We start from the raw sequence: 19,042 nt of genomic DNA, 5'->3' as shown, positions 1-19,042 counted from the left end.
ATTTCAGTGGTGCTTTTTGTTCCTATTAAGACATATGTTTTATATAGAACTAATTCAATCTTACAGGTGAAAATCAGAGAAACTAGGCATCCTAAAAGGAAAAATGCCTCTAATCCATCCACCCGAAGAAAAACTGCAGGTATTTTGGTATTTATCTCTTAGACATTTTTCTGTGTTTGTGTGAGGGGAGTATCACACTATCCCAACTTTTCTGTGGTCCCTTTTCCTCACTTCTTTTCACATCAAGACATGCAGTTCAAAGATGCCTTTATTTATTTATTTTTTTATTTATTTATTTATTTATTTATTTGAGATGGAGTCTTGCACTGTCACCAGGCTGGAGTGCAGTGGCGCAATCTCGGCTCACTGCAACCTCTTCCTCCCAGGTTCAAGTGATTCTCCTGCCTCAGTCTCCTGAATAGCTAGGAGTACAGGCGCACGGCACCACGCCCAGCTAATTTTTGTATTTTTAGTAGAGACAGGGTTTCACTGTGTTGGCCAGGATGGTCTCGATGACCTCGTGATCTGCCCACCTCGGCCTCCCAAAGTGCTGGGATTACAGGCGTGAGCCACCACGCCCAGCTCAAAGATGCCATTACTAATTACTACATGACACTCAAGTGTAACTCTATCAGGATTTATTTAACCAGTCTTCTAGAGTTGACACATAGGTTGTTCTCAGTTGTACGCTATTAGAAATAATACTGCGTGAACATTCTTTAAAATACATCTTTTCTCACTTTTCCAATTTTCTCACTTTTCCAATTTTCCGTAATACTTTTCCAATTTTCTTTAATACTTTTCTAATAGTGGGGAGAACAGTGATTTGTGATTCTATGTCTCACTGAGTCACACACATACCCAAAGCTTTTATTTAAGATCTTTGTTTATTGATGCTAACTGCAGACAATGCTAAGCTTTCCTTTTTGCAGAAGGAAGGAGGACTTCAAAGCACCTAAGGAGCTCATGAATTTTAGATTTCCTTTGTTGTGCTTTTCTTCCCACCCCCACCCCACCCCCGTTAATTCCCTTAGATGCATAACTCAAGCCAGAGCTTGGAAGGAGCTTTCACCTCCTTCTGTTTACTCAACACCTACCACATCCAATTAGTCACCAAACTCTACATTCTTCCTCCTGAAAAATGCCCTGACTCTCATGCTTACCTTCTTCCCACATCATTCATCTTTCCCTGGTATTTTTCTGTAGTGACCCAGGGTCACTACAGGAACTTCTTCAGTGCTCTCCGCTTCTTGGGTTTGGCTCCCACGCTAACCCATCTTCCATACTTCATTTTCATGTCAATCTCATGATGCATTCCCCTGCCTCAAAGTTTTTAATCGGTCCAAATTGTTTTCTAGATACACTTCAAACTCCTCAGCTGGACATACTGGCCTTTGTTTCTGGATCAAGTCACCTAGGCTGAGGCCTGAGAATCAGTATTCTTTAAACTTCCCCTGTGATTTCAGTTCAAGCAGCTTGGCTCTTCAGGGGCCCCCAAAATGGGCACTGTGGAAATACTGGTCTGCTTGGAACCAACACTAGGTCACCAGGCCAGTTAGAGCTGGAAACTTCCCTAAGCTACAGCCAAAAATTTTCTAGTACAGTGTGGTTATTTTAGGAATAATTTAAAGAGCATTTCACCAAAGAGCAGCATTTTTGCAAGTATAGATTAAAAGATCATTTCCATTTAGGAAGCCTAATTTAATTAAGTCACACAATTTTTGAGGTATGAAGGCTTTTCTTGCTGAGTCAGGATTTTTTGCTTCTCTGCTAATGCAAAGCAGGTAGTTGAAACTGAAGATTTGCTCTGGGACAATACTATTTACATGCCTGGCCACATTAAAGGTCAGGGTAGAAAGTACTGTTCTGTGGGACAGAGGGGCAAGAGGGTATTTTGTTTCAATCTTATTAGAGCACTATGTTAAACTGTTTTTTTCAAGTAGAATGTTTAAATTTTAGGTTCTTTATGAAAAAATGCTTAAAAGCTATTTAATGATTTGTGTTTCTTATAGGCAAGGTATTCATAAATATCAAACCATTAAGAAAAAGAAAAAGATTTTTGAGCAGTTAGATGTTTCCATTCAATTAATGGTGAGGTTTTCAGAAAAAGTACTTTTGTGAAACTGAAAAGGATATTGCAATAATAGCATTTTATTTTCTATTTTATCTTTCACTCATCTTAAAGTAGTTTGATGGATTAAAACTCTGTAATTTTCATACCATGTAATGTGAGCTCCTAGTATGGCTACTAATATTGTTAATATCACTTCTGAAAAATAGAGAGATTAGCTTTTAAAACAGCTTTGGTTGCTTTTCTTTCTCTTTTTTCCTCTAGTTTGTAATTACCACAAAGACTGTCTCTGTCTTATTCATACTGTGTCCCCGTGCGTGGGTGATGGCAGGCCCAGGGTACACATCTTCTGAGCTAATGCCTGCATGATGAAGAATGGAATTTTGTATAACAGGCCTCTCTGAGAAGGTATATGGGAAGGAGAAATTTGATCCTTGACCTAGAGGAAGCTTATAGTAGTGGAAAATACTTTTTCCTAGCCTGTCTGAGTTTTCAAAGTATTGTGCTATTGATATGGCATCAATGACTGGAGGAACTGCAGGGTGCTTGGTCTTGCGCCAGTTTAGATAAAACTACACAGACACACGTGGGATGGTTTTAAGGAGCCGAGAGTTTGTTAGGCAAGAAAGAAGGAAGAAGAAAATAGCTCCCCCGTACAGAGACAGAGGGAAGGGGGATTTGAACAAAGAGAAACCCCAAGTGCGGCAGAAAAGTGGTTGCTTATGTTGGGATGCTGGAGGAGGCGGTGTCTGGTTTGCATAGGGCCCAGTGGATTGGTTTGGTTTGACTAGGTGTGTCATTTACGTAACACTGATCTTCATCAAAGTCTTATCTAATTCAAGGGATCTCCAAGCTGCCTTTTTACAGTACTATTTTCAGTTTGTTGAATGGTTATTTCTTAAAATATAAGATGTAAGTATTAACAGTATAGATAGATGGGTGGATAATGTTGTCTGGTCATAGAAGTGTCATAGAAAAAAAATAAAGAAGGTTTAAGGGGTGAGTGAGTGGGGGGGATGGGGGGCTGCTTCTTCAGTCATGCTTGCTGAAGGTTGTTTCTCCAAGGAGGTAACCCTTGAGCTGTGAAGAGAGAGCTACAGAACTACAGCTGGGGGAAGAGCATTTCAGAAACAGAGAACAGGCTTTAAAGGGCTTGAGGTGGACAGCAAGCTTGGTGTGTTTATTTAAAAAGCAAGGCAAAAAATAAAATAAAATAAAATTTTAAGAAGCCAGTTGGTCATTGTGCCTGGAGGGCAGTGAACAAGGAGAGGCCTGTGAGTGGTCTCAGAGAGCTAGTCTTAGAGCAAAGGGAATTTCCTCTCCGCCCTCTGAAGTTTCCATAACTGAGTCTGCTGTCATCAACTGACAGTAGACCAATTAACTGGAGAAAAGGCAAATAAAGTTATTACCTGTGTGGGGGCACACAGTACTCACAGGAAAGTGAGTACCCAATAACTCAATGAGATTTAGAAATGCATGTACCCTTCTTCATTTGAAAGAGGGAACTGGGGGCTGTAGGCACATTTAGAGGAAAAGTAAATGGTTTTTAGGGGAGACCAATGGACAGGAGGAACAGACAATAGACTGAGACAAAGTTCCTGTAGGCCGGGTGTGAATGTCAACTCTGGTCTTTCCTGGGAGTTAATCTTCCTTGTTTGATGAGATTATATGCTTTGGGAGGCCAAGGTGGACAGATCATTTGAGGTCAGGAGTTCAAGACCAGCCTGGCCAAAATGGTGAAACCCTATCTCTACTGAAAATGCAAAAATTAGGCAGGCATGGTCACACGTGCCTGTAATCCCAGCTACTCGGGAGGCTGAGGCAGGAGAATCACTTGAACCTGGGAGGCAGAGGTTGCAGTGAGCCGAGATCACGCCACTGCACTCCAGCCTGGGTGACAGAGTGAGTGAGACTCCGTCTCAAAAAATAAAAAATTAGAGAAACTTTTTGAAAAGAGATTATAGAGAGGGAGCTCAAGACAATTGCATTGCTTCTGGAGGAAATTCCCTCAGTCAGACAAGGGAACTTCAGGGAAAGCCCCTCCCCTCACTTAGGAAGAGGCAGAGGGGTGAGAAATGGAGACAGGAGAGGGCAAAAGAGACCTGGTTTCTGAGGCTGCTTCTTTAGTTCAAAGTACGCAGATGTCAAAGAGCCATACTTTGGGGTATTATTTTATGAGCCTCAACATTAGCCAGGGGCCAGATTTTTCAGGGGCTTGAAAACTGTGGTCAGGACTTTGGCTTTTATTTTGAGTGAGGCAGGGAACCACTGGAGAGTTTTGAGCACCGGAGTGACATGATCTGCCAGATTTTAAAAGACCACTGAGACTGTAGGGGAATGAGGGGACATGAGGCAGATGAGGAGGCCCCTGCTGCAGATCTGGCAAGGGCAGATGTGGCGTAGACTAAGGTGGAGGGGTTAGAGATGACAAGGAGTGGGCATGCTCTGAATTTATTTGAAAGGTAGAGCTGACAGGATGCACTAACTGGATATGACAGATGGGCAGTGTGGTGGGAGAGACTGATGAAGTCAAGTATGACTTTAGGTTTTGATGGCACCACTCATAGAGATGGGGAACGTAGATTCAGGCAAGCAAGTGGAAGAAAGAGTTGAGCTTGGAACTGTTGGCTGTGAGATGCCCGGATAGACACCCAAGTGCAGATATAGAGAAAGCAGTGGAATAGATGCATCTGAGTTCAAGGCAGAGGTTGGGACTAGAGACATAATTTGTAGTTGTTCACACATAATTGATACTAGATCAGATCACCTAGGGAGTGAGTGGAGACAGGGAAGGGGTCCAAGGGCCAAACTCAAGGCATTCCAATCTAGTCAAGAAGATGAAAAAAACCTAGCAAGGGAGACTGAGGAGGTGATGCTAGGAGGCAAGAAGTATGCAAACAACAAGTGTGGCGTTTTGTAGTGCCACGAGAAGAAATGCTCCTTAGGAAGAGGCCATTATCAGCTGTTTCAAGTTCTATTGTAAAATGAAGATGGCAAGTGATCAGATTTGACCTCATGGAGGTCACTGGTGTCCCCAGTGAGAGCAGATTCAGCTATGATTCACCGTCTGATTACAGAAGTTATCTTATGATTGCTTTTAGTTTCTTAGTGAAATGAGGATCTAAGTTATCTGATGAAAAATGAGGAGGGAGGGAAGGACTCTGGAGGTTTGTGAATAGAGGAGAAGCTGTACATAGTTGTCTGAGGAGTGAATCAGCTAGAAAAATACAGTCAGATTTCAAACAGAACTAAGAACTCTCTTGTTAGTTAAGGTCATAAATTTAAATGAGACCAGACAGCACCATTGTATGCTTTTCTCCAGCCTGTTCGGCTGTTCAGGTGGGTGGAGGAGGCAGAGAATAGGATTTAAGCTAGGTTGGTTTTGCTAAGCAAATATGATAGAGAGAAGAGGTACTGGGGATGTATTCATGAATACAAAAGGAGAGATTATAATTATAATGGAATAGAAGTTAGGTAATGAGGAAAGTGAAGCCATGAATGGGGTGATGGACAAGGAAAAGGTGGCAATGTTAAGAGTCACAGCAGGATCAGAGAACTTTTGGAATGTGTTGCAGGTTGCAACTGATTGGAGCCAGCATTGTGGGTGGTAAAATAATTTACAAAGACAGTAGTAAGTTAAAGAAAGCAATGGGCAGCACAGCAGAGAAGGAGCTGTCTGCAAAGAGACAGGATCTGGAGGGAAGTTTTACAGGGTGGTGCCGGAGGGGCTACCTACAGATAAGCTTGTGCTGCTGGGGCTACATGCAAAGCGAGGTATTTGGGAACAGGATGTTGTGTCAGCAGGTTGTTGGTGGTTAGCCTTCTCTCAGAACAATTGTTCTCTCCACACTTGGGGCATCTTCCTTGTTGTTTACTTATCTTGTCAGGACTCCACAGAATGGGCATACTAGAGAGAGTGAATTGGAAAGACACAAGATGGTGCTTGTAAACTTACGACTTCAGCAATGGTTCTGTATTTTCAATGACAAAGCTTAGGCTACAGTCACAGCAAAAGCTGCTTTAGGAGATTATAAAGGACAAGACCTTTGGGTTGAGGAGGGTTGTGGAACTGAGAAGCTAGGTATTGGGTAGATCATCTGTGAGGATATTGAAGTTACTAAGAATGATGATAAAGAGAGGGAAGGGTAAGAAAATCGTCAATGAATTGTGGCATGACCAGGTGGAGAGTAAGTGTCATAAAGAGGGATAGTGGATAGTATAATGTCAGGCACCTCAAAGGAACTGGGCAGGGAGTTAGGGAGTAAAAAGGGCGGTGGTCTGGAAGCAGAAAGGAGGAGCAGTGGTCCAGTAGGGGCTGCAGAGCTGCAAGGCTTTGCCTCAATCCTGTCAAAGGCAACTTCAAGCTTTCCAGGAGCCATACTCCTTCATTTGTTCATTACTTTCTAGATTAGGAAATCACCACTCAGCGACTGGGGTCTTTGCCTGAATGTATTTCAGAATTACTAAGTTGGTTGAATGCTTCCACAAATACTGTTTTCATGGAGAGCACTTCATATTTACATTGGAAAAGAGCTGGTGCCATCCTCTCCACAGAAACAAGGCTGACAGCCCTTAAATAGCTTTGGCTATCTCTTGGGGAGATCACAGTTTGTGGGAAATCGACAACATTACCATGGAACATAACTTGGAAATGATATTTTTCTTTGCTCGCCACTGAGCATTTTGGACTTGGGAAACAGGCTACCAGAAGAGTAGTTATTGGGAAAGGGCAATCAACACGTGCTTTCCTTGGCTCATGATTTCTTGCCATTTTTTCCGGCGTTGTAATCAAACCTGTAGGCTACTGATTATTTACTCATTAAGTTCCACTTTCTCACTCTTCCCATTTCAAAGTAGTCATTTAAAAAATTGCCCGATCGATGATTTTTATATAGGAACAACATATTTTTTATGAAAGTCTTTTTCACAACTGCTAAGAAGCTTTGTCACTATAAGCTGTCACAAGATGGCATCACTTGGTAGTCTTCAAGTCTAATTAGTTTTCTTGTACGCCTGGGTGCATTTTTGAGCTATAAAATAAAACTTGTTGAATAAAGTGACCTTTTTTTTATATGCAGTCTAGCCTATTTTGGAATTGTCCTTTACAAACATATAACATGATGATTGATCAGATGGCATTTGGGTCTGAAATTACTTCTTGGATGTAGAAGAGAACAAGGCCTTGTTTTGAAAGTTTCTGACTTAATTATTTTATTTCAAAAAAGACAAGAAGGCATATGCAGAATTTGAAGGGAATTATAGATTCTGCCCTGACCAAGAGAAGGATAAGAAAATCATCAATGGATTGTGGCATGACCAAAAGCAGAATAAATAACATAAGGAAGGCTGTAGTCCCATGGCAGGCACCTCAAAGGAACTGGGCAGGAGGTTAGCAAGTGGAAAGGATAGTGGTCTGGAAGCAGAAAGCAGAAGCAAGAAGTACACCTATTCAGCCTCCAAGAAATATATGTAGCCTTCAGGACACCCTAGACAAGAAAAGGCTCTCAGAAAGGGAACAGGTATTGAGATAAATAAATTTGAGGTGGACACCTACTTTGCATCACGACACTGTGTTAAGACCTAGAGATCTAAACATGAAAAAGGGATCTTCTAAAGCATCGAGTGGTCTAGCAGAGGAGAGAGACATGGAATCCAGTAGCCCTGTTGAGTTAGCATTATACTGAAAAAGAGAAGTGAGAACAGTTTATCCTCTTGGGTGAGTAGGGAGCTGGGATCCTACAAAGAACAAGAATGGAGATATCTGAACTGGACTTTGAAAGATATCAAGAATTTACCACCCATTTTGGATAGGAATGGGCTAGAGGGTGTCAGGGAAGGAATTTAAAGATGAGGCAACAGCCTGAATAAAGGATTAAGGTCACGAATAGGGTAGACTTTGGGACCCTGGGGAAGTAGCAAGGGACAGCAAGAAGTGATTTGGATCCTTACATATGGAAAAGACTCTGAGTTTCCTGGCACCCTACCTTTGACAGATTTAGGATGAATAAAAAGATGTACATGTGTTTCCAAGATGTTACAGAGAACACTCATATTTATTTGATACTTACATACTCCAAGATATTCAGAAATCAGATTATTGTACTGAAATAATGCAGAATTGGACCATTTTTCTATGACAAGTCTAAATAATTTATCTGGTGGATGTTTTCATAAAGGAAGGTTTTACACCTGTTCAGTGTGTGGTTTATCCAAATACCTTTACTTCGGAATTTGTGCTTGAAAATAGATTCTGTATCTTTTGGCGAATGGGAGCCAAGGGTTATAGTGGTGAGTATGAAGGGAGATGAGATAGGGTAGAAAAAGAAGCAGCTGTAGAGAAAATGTAGTGTAGAAGCAGATAGTATAGGAAAAAAAGATTTGAGCTGAGAGGAGGGTTTATTTCCTGGTGTGACCAGTTAGGAGCTACTCGACCTTAGACTAAAGTCCCTTGACCTCCTGGAGTCTGATGCCTTCCGCCATGTAGAGGGAGGTGATGAGCTATTCTGAGGCTCATAAGATACAACGTGTGAGGCATGAGAGAGCCCCTTTTGTGTGCCATAAAACTCTGTAGAAATGGGAGCTGATAGTCCTGATATCTTGGTATACTTTGAGAATTTAGCTTTGTTACAACTTCAGGGTCACGGGTTGTGGGATGAATGGCTCACTGAATGCTTCTCAAGCTTTTGGGATACAGGAACATGTCTCACCTGGTACGCTTGTAAAAACATCAAATATTGGGAACCATCTCCAGAATTCCTAATTTAATGTGATTAGGACAGAATTTAAGAATCTGCATTTTGAGCAGACATCTCATGAGTTGCGAAGACAGTGGACCGAGGAGACCATTTTCTTGTAGAAACTGTCCTAAAAGATCTTAAAAGTTATGTGCATCCAGTAAAATCAGGCCAGAAGTTGCCCAGCCTATTAATAAAACCTTGGACTCACCTTCTGAGAAAAAATGCAGGCACCCTTTGCTAGGCTTCTGAAGGTCCTCTTTGACAGGCACCCCAGCTGAGATTGGCCTTGTTCTCCTGCACCAAATAAAGGAGTTGCTAGCATTTTTGAACTCCTATGTTGTGCTTGTGGGGGAGGATCCAAGAACAGATTACCCTGCTTGCTGCTAGCAGAAACCCAAACCCACTGCAGTCTCCCATCACATTGACCATTCATTTGTCAGCAGTGCCCCTGGGTGGGAATCAGGCTGACAGCCTTCCAAAACCTCCCCTCCTGTCCCTGCTTCCCCCACACCCCTGCCTCAAGGGACATCTGTGATGCACTGGAAGGTGACCTAAACATTTGGCCAGAACCCTAATTCTGATACTTCTGGTTCTGTGACCCCCATTAATTCCCTTACTTTCCAAACCTCCAATTCCTCACCTGTGAATGAGGAAGGTGCACCTGGGCTGCAGCATTGCTGTGAAGATGAAGCAAGTGCTTGAGGCTCTGTGAGATCCTGCTGTGTGGGGTCTGCTGTCCAGATCATGAAGAACTCTTGCCCCTCAGGAACTTGTATGTAGATGCTCTTCTGAGCAACAACAGTGAATTTGGAAATCCTGCCTAGGAATCAGAGCAAGGGTCCAAGTTGTAGGCATGGAGTTGAAAGTAAAAACCAGCATTTTAATTTTTACTACAAGATAATTAGCTTCTGAATAAAGATAGTAATTTTGTATTGAAACATTTAATTCCCCTTCTTCCAAAGTTCCTACTGAAATGACTAATACACACACACACACACACACACACACACACACACACACACACACACACACACACACAAAACATACCCATACACTGTACCAGAACTGGAGCAGGGAAGAGTGAAATCTACTCATTCATTCAGCAACATGCAAAACACATACACCTTTAAGTTGCCAGATTCTCAATGGATTCATTTTATATGGCTAAGACTGTTACATGTTCAACAGTAGGGGAACAGCTAAATAAATAAAAAACCGAGTTGTCCTTAAAGATGATGGTGTATAAGCATCATTATTTACATATAAAAAGTATTGTTACACTAAGAAGATTAAAAAACAATATATACAATATTATATTACAACCATGCTTAGAAAAACCTTTAAAAGGATATGCACCAAAATTTTTGACAGTCATTTTCTGTAAATGATAGGGATAGTTCACCTTTTAAAATATTGCTTATCTATTCTGTCTAGTTTAATTACTTTGAATTTAACATACTTGCGTAATAAACACATATGTCTGACAGGTTGTAAAAATTGGGGCTTTTAGACTTCAGCTGCAGACCTAAAATATTTGCATAGCTAATTAGGGGCTCTTGTGTGATGTCCATCTTTATGTCAAGAGAGTAGTACGTTCAAGAGTAGTATGTCAAGAGAGGCACGGTGGCTCATACCTGTAATCCCAGCATTTTGGGAGACTGAGGTGGGTGGATCCACGATGTCAGGAGATCGATATCATCCTGGCTAACATGGTGAAACCCCATCTCTACTGAAAATACAAAAAAATTAGCCGGGCGTGGTGGCGGGTGCCTGTAGTCCCAGCTACTCGGGAGGCTGAGGCAGGAGAATGGCGTGAACCCGGGAGCTTGCCCTGAGCCGAGATCGCGCCACTGTACTTTAGCTGGGGCGACAGAGCGAGACTCCATCTCAAAAAAAAAAAAAAAAAAAAAAAAAGAGTAGTGACTTCCATTATTTGGCACATTGACCTCATTATATTGAAATGTCTTGAGAGTCTTTCACTCTCCAGTGGGTCACCTAAGAAATGCTTTGGGAATAACAAAGAGGTCTGTCTCCTCCAGGAGATGATACTGCTCTCTTCCTCCTCTGCTCTCTGTGTATTTTTTTTTCCTTCCCAGCTATTCACACACCAGTAGAATTTCTCTTATGTAAGTGGACCTCTCTTGAGACTCTGTGATGGAAAAGAATGTATTCAGTTTTTTCCCCCTTTTTTGAAAAAGCATCATTACAATTCCCGCTTCCCATCCATTCATTTTCATAACTGAGTCTAGAGTGATTTCTTTTTTCTTTGAACTTTACTTGAATGTATCCCGTCCCTTTCATAAGAGCCACTTTTACCTGGGAGCCTCAGAAGGTTAGAGTGATGATATGGAGGTGCTGCCTTATTAATCAAACGTTTGCTCTGTGCTGGGCATTAATCACTTAAAGCTGCACAGCTGGATAAGATTCATTAGTGTCTTCTTTCACTGTGCTCGTCTCCCCGCCCCGCTTGCTCTTGGAGGCATTTACTAAAATGCCACCAGTGCTTCCATCACCAGCTCCATCTCTCTCCCACCTCCCGTGGCCACGTGCTGTGTTTGGCCCCTGGGTACAGAGAAAGATCACTAAGAGGTTACCAAACAGAACATTAAAGGGCCTCTGATGGCTTCTTTGACTGATTCCTTTCAAATCTGCCTGGATCCTCTGGAAGCCTCTTCTCAGGATGCATGTTCCACACTGAGCCCAGTGGCTGCCCTCAGGAGTAGATGCAGGCCTCAGAGATGCTGAACACCTCCCTGGCATGGGTTTGCGTGGGATGCACCTGTTCATCAGTCATGCCCCCTCCGTCTGGGGACATCCTGCTGGTGCCCAGACCATCCTCCCTGCTTCCTGCTTCCTTGCCAGATCCTTCTCTAATCCACTTCCTGACTTCCACATAGAGGTCTTTGACTTCAGAGTCCCTTGCTTTGGCCTTTAAACCCCCCTTCATTTAATCATTCTTCAGTAAACATCTATTGAGTGCCTGCTGTATGCCAGGCTCTGCAGCAGTCACTGGGGACGTAATTCTGTGCCAGAGAAACATGGTTCTGACCTCATGGAAGTTTCTAGCAGAGAAGACATGTAAAAGCAAAACAGAAGAGTAAACAAAGCAACGTGGTCTCAAGCGTAAGAAGTGCTGTGAAGTCAACAAAAAGAAACAGAGACAGAATCTACTAGGAGTGGGCACCATATTTTGAATGGCGTGGCCAGAGAAGACTGTGGTCCTTGGACCAACACCAACAGCATTGCCTGAGAACCTGCTAGAAATGCAGATTCTCAGACCCTATCCCAGACCCACTTCAGTCTGATTCATCAGAGACTCCCCCAGCAGTCTGTGTTTAATGAGCCCTCCAGGTGGTTCCAGTGGCCACCCTAGATTGAGAACCACTGATTAAGGCTACGTGATGGGAAGGAGGTAGGTATGTGAAGTGTGGAGGAAAGCACCTTCCAGGCTGAGGGTCCAGATGAGCAAAAACAGGAGAGAGCTTGGCTTTTTTGAGGAACTGAAACCAAGACCATTTTGGCCGGAGCCAAGTGTTGGTGATGTGGGCAGGGATTAAATCAGATAGGCTCTTGCAGACCAAAGTGAAGGGATAGGATTTTAACCTAGTTAAGAAGCCCTTGAAGCATCTTAAGCAATGCCTTGCACTGATCTGGACTCCCTTTTAAGATGATCTCTATTGCTGAGTCCAGAATAGATTGGAGTGGCTTAAGAATGGAAGTGGGAGACCAGGAAGGAGGCTGATACACAGGTCCAAGCAGTAAATGGAGGTGGCCTGGACCAAGGTGGCAACAGTAGGAATAAGGTAAGAAGGTACTTGTGAGATATGTTTTAGAAATAAGCTCAAAAAGACTTGTGGACTGATTAGGTGTGGACAGGGGTAGTGGTGGAGAGGGGGAATCATGATTGACTTCCTGGTGTCTGGCTTCAGTAACTGGGTAGATGGATGGGTCATTTACTGCTCCAGAGAGGCAAGAAGCAGACACGCCCTCTCGGCCTTCCTCTCAGACACTCCGTAACATGGTGGGTCTGAAATCCCACTGTAAACAGCTTCATGGAGTGCATCCTCAGCTTGTCTTCATGGGCCAGTCCTCAGTTCAGCCCAGACCCCTGAGCCCTCATGGAGATGAAGGAGCCATTGCTTCGATCTCCATAAGGGCTCTGTCCCTCTAGCGCAATGTCTTGTGTGCAGTGAACATTTGAGAAATACCTAAATGACTCGGTCTGCTGGAAGAGCAGTATTCCTGTCAGAAAAATATTGAGTCAGTCCCCAGCCTTGATTAAAGATGTATAATTGTTACCTTCACCTTAGGAAGGACAAAAGAGATAAATTGCCTGGCGCCATGAAACACAGACAGCCCAAGGGGTTGAACCAAAGACAGAAGCAGAAGATAGGAGTGGCCAGGGGCCCAGGAGAAAATAGGAGAAACCTGTGGCTTGGTGGTGAGTGACCCTTTGCCCAGTCACCCACTGTGAAGAGTGAACTGCAGGAGGAAATGGGAAGGAAAACAGATCTTTTGACTCTGCTCATCTCCTGCAGAGAAGGTGGGCTGGTTACATAAAAAGCTACTGTGGGCTGCTCAGTTCCTGAGTCTTGCTCACAGGGCTGAAGGAAACATTCCCTCTGTCTCTCACAGATGTTAATAATGAGCATGCCAGTCAATCCACCCAGTCAGGAGTCGCTCATCTCCAGCTGTCCCGGGCACCTTGTTGATGGTGGGTCTTGCATAGTACATTGTTTCTTGTTTTCTGTGTCTGTTTAGGATATACAGGGAGCTGTATCTTCTAGATTTAAATGCTGAAAAAAAGTGGTGAGTGAGAAGGGGAGAATGGAAATGAGATGTATAGGAGCATGGGGCGAACACAGCACGAGGGAACTCCAACCGAAAGAGCCATAACCTAAATCTGAGAAGCTAATTTTGCAGAACCAGCTTAGCCACGGGACTTTGGGGATTTGCTTTGGAAAGATGTTTGCATTGTCTGTGTCATTGGCATGAGGCCACACAGTAGTTCTCAAATGGGAGGAGGGATTTCGCAATGTCTGGAGATAGTTTTGTTTGTCACATCTGGGTGGGGTGGTGGAGGAGGGCACTGGTATCTAGTGAGCAGAGGCCAGAGATATGCTGCTAAACATTCTACAGTGAACAGGAAGGATTTGCCATGGGGATGAGGGGAGTTGGCAATGTCTGGAGATAGTTTTGTCACATTTGGTTGGGGGTGGGGGGCCACTGACACCTAGTGAATAGAGGCCAGAGATGCTGCTAAACATTCTGTAATGCACAGGACAGGCTTCCACAACATAGAATTATCTGGCCCAAATGTCAGTAGTGCCAAGGTTGAAGAACCCTGGCCTAGACCGAGTGAAGAGGACAGAGCAAGAGAACCTGGTCTGATGTCTGCCACCGAGAGAGGGTGTGGCCATGCACATTGAGAAGGGGGCTCTTCAGCTGGTCTGTCATCAAAGGAACCAGATGAGAAAATTCCGTGAAGTCCCACCTGTCTTTTCAGCTCTTGTGTGAGTCTCCGTGAAAATCAGCAGATATTTATATCCTCCATTTGTGGCCAAGGCACAAGGCAAGGGAATGTGGGGGAAACACAGTGGAATAAGAAGTGGTGCCGTTTCCAGTTCAGTGATAGGGTCTCTCATCATGCAAGGCAGATGGAAGTAAGTACCTCTACCATAGGGTAAAAAAGTGTTATGAGATCTTTGAAGAGTGAGTGAGCAGGCCAGGCATGGTGGCTCACGCTTGTAATGCCAGCAGTTTGGGAGGCCAAGGCGGGTGGATCACCTGAGGTCAGGAGTTCAAGACCAGCCTGACCAACATGGTGAAACCCCTTCTCTACTAAAAATACAAAAATTAGCTGGGCGTAGTGGCAGGCACCTATAATCCCAGCTACTCGGGAAGCTGAGGCAGGAGAATCGCTTGAACCTGGGAGACAGAGGTTGCAGTGAGCCAAGATCGTACCATTGCACTCCAGCCTGAGTGACAGAGCGAGACTCCATTTCAAAAACAAACAAACAAAAAGAGTGAGTGAGCAGTACCTTCTATAGGGAGCATATCCTAGAGGCTCTGCCGTATGGTGGGAAAATGTTCAAATCCCTTTTGCGTCTTGATGTATATAGGAAGGTGGTTAAGAGCATGGATTTAGGAACAGTGAGAACTGGGTTTGTATCCTAGCCCTCAGTTTCCTTCTTCATAGGAAGGAGATAGTTGTAGGGTTATAGTGAAGAAAAAAATGAGATAATCTAAAATGGTTCAAATAGCACCTGGCACACAGTCAAGAGGTCAATAAATGGTAGAGACTGTTGTGGTATGGAGGAAGTTACTGCTCTGTGGAGGGGTAGTAGCTGTGTGATTTTATACAGTTGATTTAATTTTTCTGAACCTCAGTTTCCTAATCTGTAAAAGAGAGATGAAATGATGTGCTCTGTAGAACCTTTGTAAGGATAAAAGGACAATGTATGCCAAGTGCCTGGTGCATAGATGACATTCTAACTCAATGTGAAATCTTCTCCTTACTCCGGACTTTGGTTGAAGGAGTCTGGTGTCTTTTGCACATGATGATGTCAACTTGGGTCCCTCACATTGCCTTAGCGTCCTTCACCCAACCCACCAGTGCAGGACATAGTGGTCCTCCCCACCCCGCCCATTGTCTACCCCTCTAAATGATTTTAAGAACCAAGTGTTTGTCCTCTTAAGTACTTATAAACTTCTCTAAGATAAATATTTTATATAAAATCAAGTACCTCTTGATCCTAGTTATGTTTTTCACCACTTATCTATTCAAACTACACTTATTGAGCATCTTCTGCATGCTAGGAACCGACATAGGAGTTGGGGATAATAAGTCAAAGAACGCACAATAACTCACTTGACTGTGTCTATGATAGACAAGTGTTTGCCTAGCTTATGTCACTTGAACTCGACCTTCATTAATTTTGCCATATTATTCAGTTAAATAAACCTGGGCTACATCCTGAAGGAGGAAAGAGAGTCAGCCAGGAAAAGAATCCTCAGGGCCTAGGTGGTTGTGGGGAGGTGATGGGACATTCCAGGCAGAGGGAGTGGCCTCTTGGGTGGAGGCCAGAAGAGAGAAGGATGCTTCTAGGTCACTGGTCAGAGTTTGAGGAGGAAAGGAGCAAGAAATGCAGCAGGTGAGGTGAGCCAGGTCAGCTTAGGAAGGGCCTCGTATAAATTGCTGTGGAGTTCAGACTTTGACCCAAGGTTATTGAAGACCACAGAAATATTTTAGGCTAAGGAAAGACATGATCAGATCTGTGCTTTGGAAAGAAAACTCTTTGGACTGAAAAGATTAGGAGGCCAACGCCTGATCCAAGCAGGAGATAAACACCTGATCAACGTCATGGCCCAGATTGGGAATGTGGTCAGTACGTGTTTAAGATGTGGGATCAACAGGTTTGGGTGGTTGATAGGTTGTGATGGAGAGTGAGTTGGAAAATGAGAAACTGGGGATGATTTATTGGTGGGCAATAGTACCTGCAATTGAGATAGAGAATGTGAGAATAAGAGCACACCAGGAATATGGGAGAGATGAGCTCAGTGGATGAACTAGATGTGAAGTGCTTTGGGCACATCCAAATGGAGATACTGTCCTGCTCAAAGCTAGAAAGTGAATTAATACAGAAACAAAATCAAATACCGCATGTTCACCCTTATAAGTGAGAGCTAAACATTGGGTACACAGGGACATAAGAGTGGAAACAGTAGACACTGGGGACTCCCAAAGCAGAGAGGGAGCAGGGCAAGGTTGGAAAAACTACCTATTGGGTACTGTGCTCACTATTTGGGTGACGGGTTCAATAGAAGTCCAAACCTCAGCATTGTGCAGTATATCCATGTAGCAAACCTGCACGTGTACCCCCAAATCTAAAATAATTTTTAAAAAATAACAAAAAGATAAATTGACAATTAAAAAATAAATTAATTCATTGTGATTATTTTTAAATTTTGCTGAAGAGCCTATAGAGGAAAGGTGAGTGAGATGGGCTGGAGAAATTGGAGTCACAAGAATTAGATAAAACTGTTAAGTCATTTGAATAGATGATCTCACCGAGGAAGAAGGTGGGGAGTGAGAAGAGAAGAAGGGACCAGGACTGTGCATCTGCATTTAAGAGACAGGCAGGAGAAGATGAACTCCCAAAAGACTGAAGAGGATAATCAGAGAAGTAGAAGAGATGACTATTTTCAGTGAAAAATGGAGGATCTTGATGGTTTTAGAAGAAAGTGGGTTTTTAGGGAGAGCCCCCAACCCCTCATCCTTACCACAGATAACAATAGTCCTTTGGAAGGCACGGAGCAACACAAACACAGAGGTGGTTGCGGAACATGCCATTCTCATTTTAACTAAGGGTGGCTTTGAAGATTAAATTACAAAGAAGCAGTTGGGAGAATTCCAGTTTTGGGTCTTGACAACTCTTTGTCTTCATAGCATAGCATGAGGGTCCAGTGGCCACTTGGGCAACAGATGCACTTACCCTGTAACCATGAATACCACTCATTCTCTCACTTACTGGGAGGGGACTGTAGTCCTCATAGCTGCCCCCAGTCTCCCTTTCTAGTGATGGAAATTTCCTTTATTGACAGGGAAACAGCAGGCTAATGGCACAGATGAAATGTAAATTTTGACAGCCCCGACAGGTAAATATTGGCTTTGCACAAACAAGTTTCTATAAATAACCTGTCTGCTGCAGAAACGCCACAGATGGCAGCAGGGCTGCCCAAGTGTTGATTTTTCCCAGGGTGCTTGGTGCAGAAAAGCACAGCTGTCAGCTTTGCTGTTCCTGTTCCCAGCTCAGGCTACCTCTGCTGTGCCTGCAGACTGTCCACGTCCCATCCTCCTTTGGCAGGAGAGGCAGGGACAGGTGGAGATCAGTCATTTCAATAACCTACCTCCGATGCCTTTCATTCCAGGATTCCAAAGGAGTTTCTTAAAAATGTCACTTCCTTGGGTTCTACAGTCCAAAGTGGGAATCTGTCTGATCTGGGGATGTGTTCGCCCCTTTTAATTAAAGTTGGTCCAGTTGAAAAGAAAATTGGATGGAGTGAGATACAGTCACTCTAGACTGTGTGCCACATGGCCCTGTTGCTAAAAATAGTACCGTCAAGGACTCTGGGCAGTATGTCAGGCTATTATGTTAGCAGGCATGGACTCTGACTTAAGGGGAATGTGAGGGGTATGGAGCCACAGCAAGTCATCTCACTGGGGAAATTTGCCCGATTTAACCCCATCCAGGGAGCTAAGGGAAACACAGTGAGCCACTATTGGAAAAACAGAGGCATTCTTATTTTTCAACTATGCAACTAAGAGCCCATAACTCTAATAAAGCTGATTGAGGTAATGACATTCTAAATGATCGTTCTAGGGATTCCCGGAAAGCTTCGTGCTAAGTTAAATGCCCGTCACTGAGGCTGGGCTCCGGTTTGGGGTATGCCTGTACCTCCCTCCTTCCCTCCCTAATGTTTATTTTCTGCTCCAACTTCTTTCCTTAGGCTCATTGACTTAGTGCATTTGTATTGTAAGCCCTTTCAAAACCCTTGTGAAAGTAGAAAAGGAAGAAACCATATAAAAGTGAGTCAGAGGATTCTAGAAGGTACCTAAGATAGCAATAGTAACTTAAAAACTTATTTTATATCCTACAAAGGCTTTGAGAAAATGTATGACAATAATGGACCTTGTGCAATTAAACAATCATAATTGAAAATTAGGAAGAAAACAATGTTGAGAACTGGAATAGGAAATCACCTGTGAATAATGAAGTAATGATGGTACCACACCCAGAGCAAACTTGTGGCGTTTTCTTTAGCCTTATCCCCGGAGAGTAGAGCAAAGCTGCCGTGAGTCAGCAGGCGTTGGAAAGGACAGCAAATACACTTGCTATTGCCCTGGGTTCGCAGAGTGAATTCAGGACCCTTTATTCCCACTTCAAGGCAACCAGTCACTGCTAGCATAGGCTCCTTTGCTTTTCTGGTGGGGCAGCCCCTTCTAGCTCTAATTCTACATTAAGAAGGTGTACTAGTGTTTTAGAGCTTTGGGCCTTTTCTCCCAAATCTTGTCTCCATGTATGAGGGCCTATGTTTTCACTAAGGGCTGGGAACACTTCCTAGGCTGGGCTACATCCACTCCATTGTGCTTCCCAATTACTTTCTATACAACTGGCTTCCAGCAGGCAACAAATCAATGTCTGTGAAGTCCCGTTGACTTCAAGGAGCTCCG

The 19,042-nt window shown here is 43.5% G+C and overlaps 1 protein-coding gene across 15 annotated transcripts in view, besides 2 other annotated features; it reads left to right on the top strand.

Annotated features, from left to right (window-relative positions):
• The window catches only part of ELMO1 (engulfment and cell motility 1), a 596,421-nt gene that overhangs the window by 485,640 nt on the left and 91,739 nt on the right, over positions 1-19,042 (top strand). The window lies entirely within an intron of this gene.
• Positions 12,172-12,401: an enhancer, noted in NCBI's record as "active region_25847". NCBI's record gives its function as "activates an Ori minimal core promoter by ATAC-STARR-seq in GM12878 lymphoblastoid cells {active_cell/tissue: GM12878}" and the evidence as "EXISTENCE:reporter gene assay evidence [ECO:0000049][PMID:35858748]".
• Positions 12,512-12,561: an enhancer, noted in NCBI's record as "active region_25846". NCBI's record gives its function as "activates an Ori minimal core promoter by ATAC-STARR-seq in GM12878 lymphoblastoid cells {active_cell/tissue: GM12878}" and the evidence as "EXISTENCE:reporter gene assay evidence [ECO:0000049][PMID:35858748]".

This window comes from Homo sapiens, chromosome 7 (assembly GCF_000001405.40).
Source record: "Homo sapiens chromosome 7, GRCh38.p14 Primary Assembly".
NCBI lineage: Eukaryota > Metazoa > Chordata > Mammalia > Primates > Hominidae > Homo > Homo sapiens.
The sequence above is the reverse complement of the archived record's forward strand: the minus strand, read 5'-3'. Positions and strand labels throughout refer to the sequence as shown.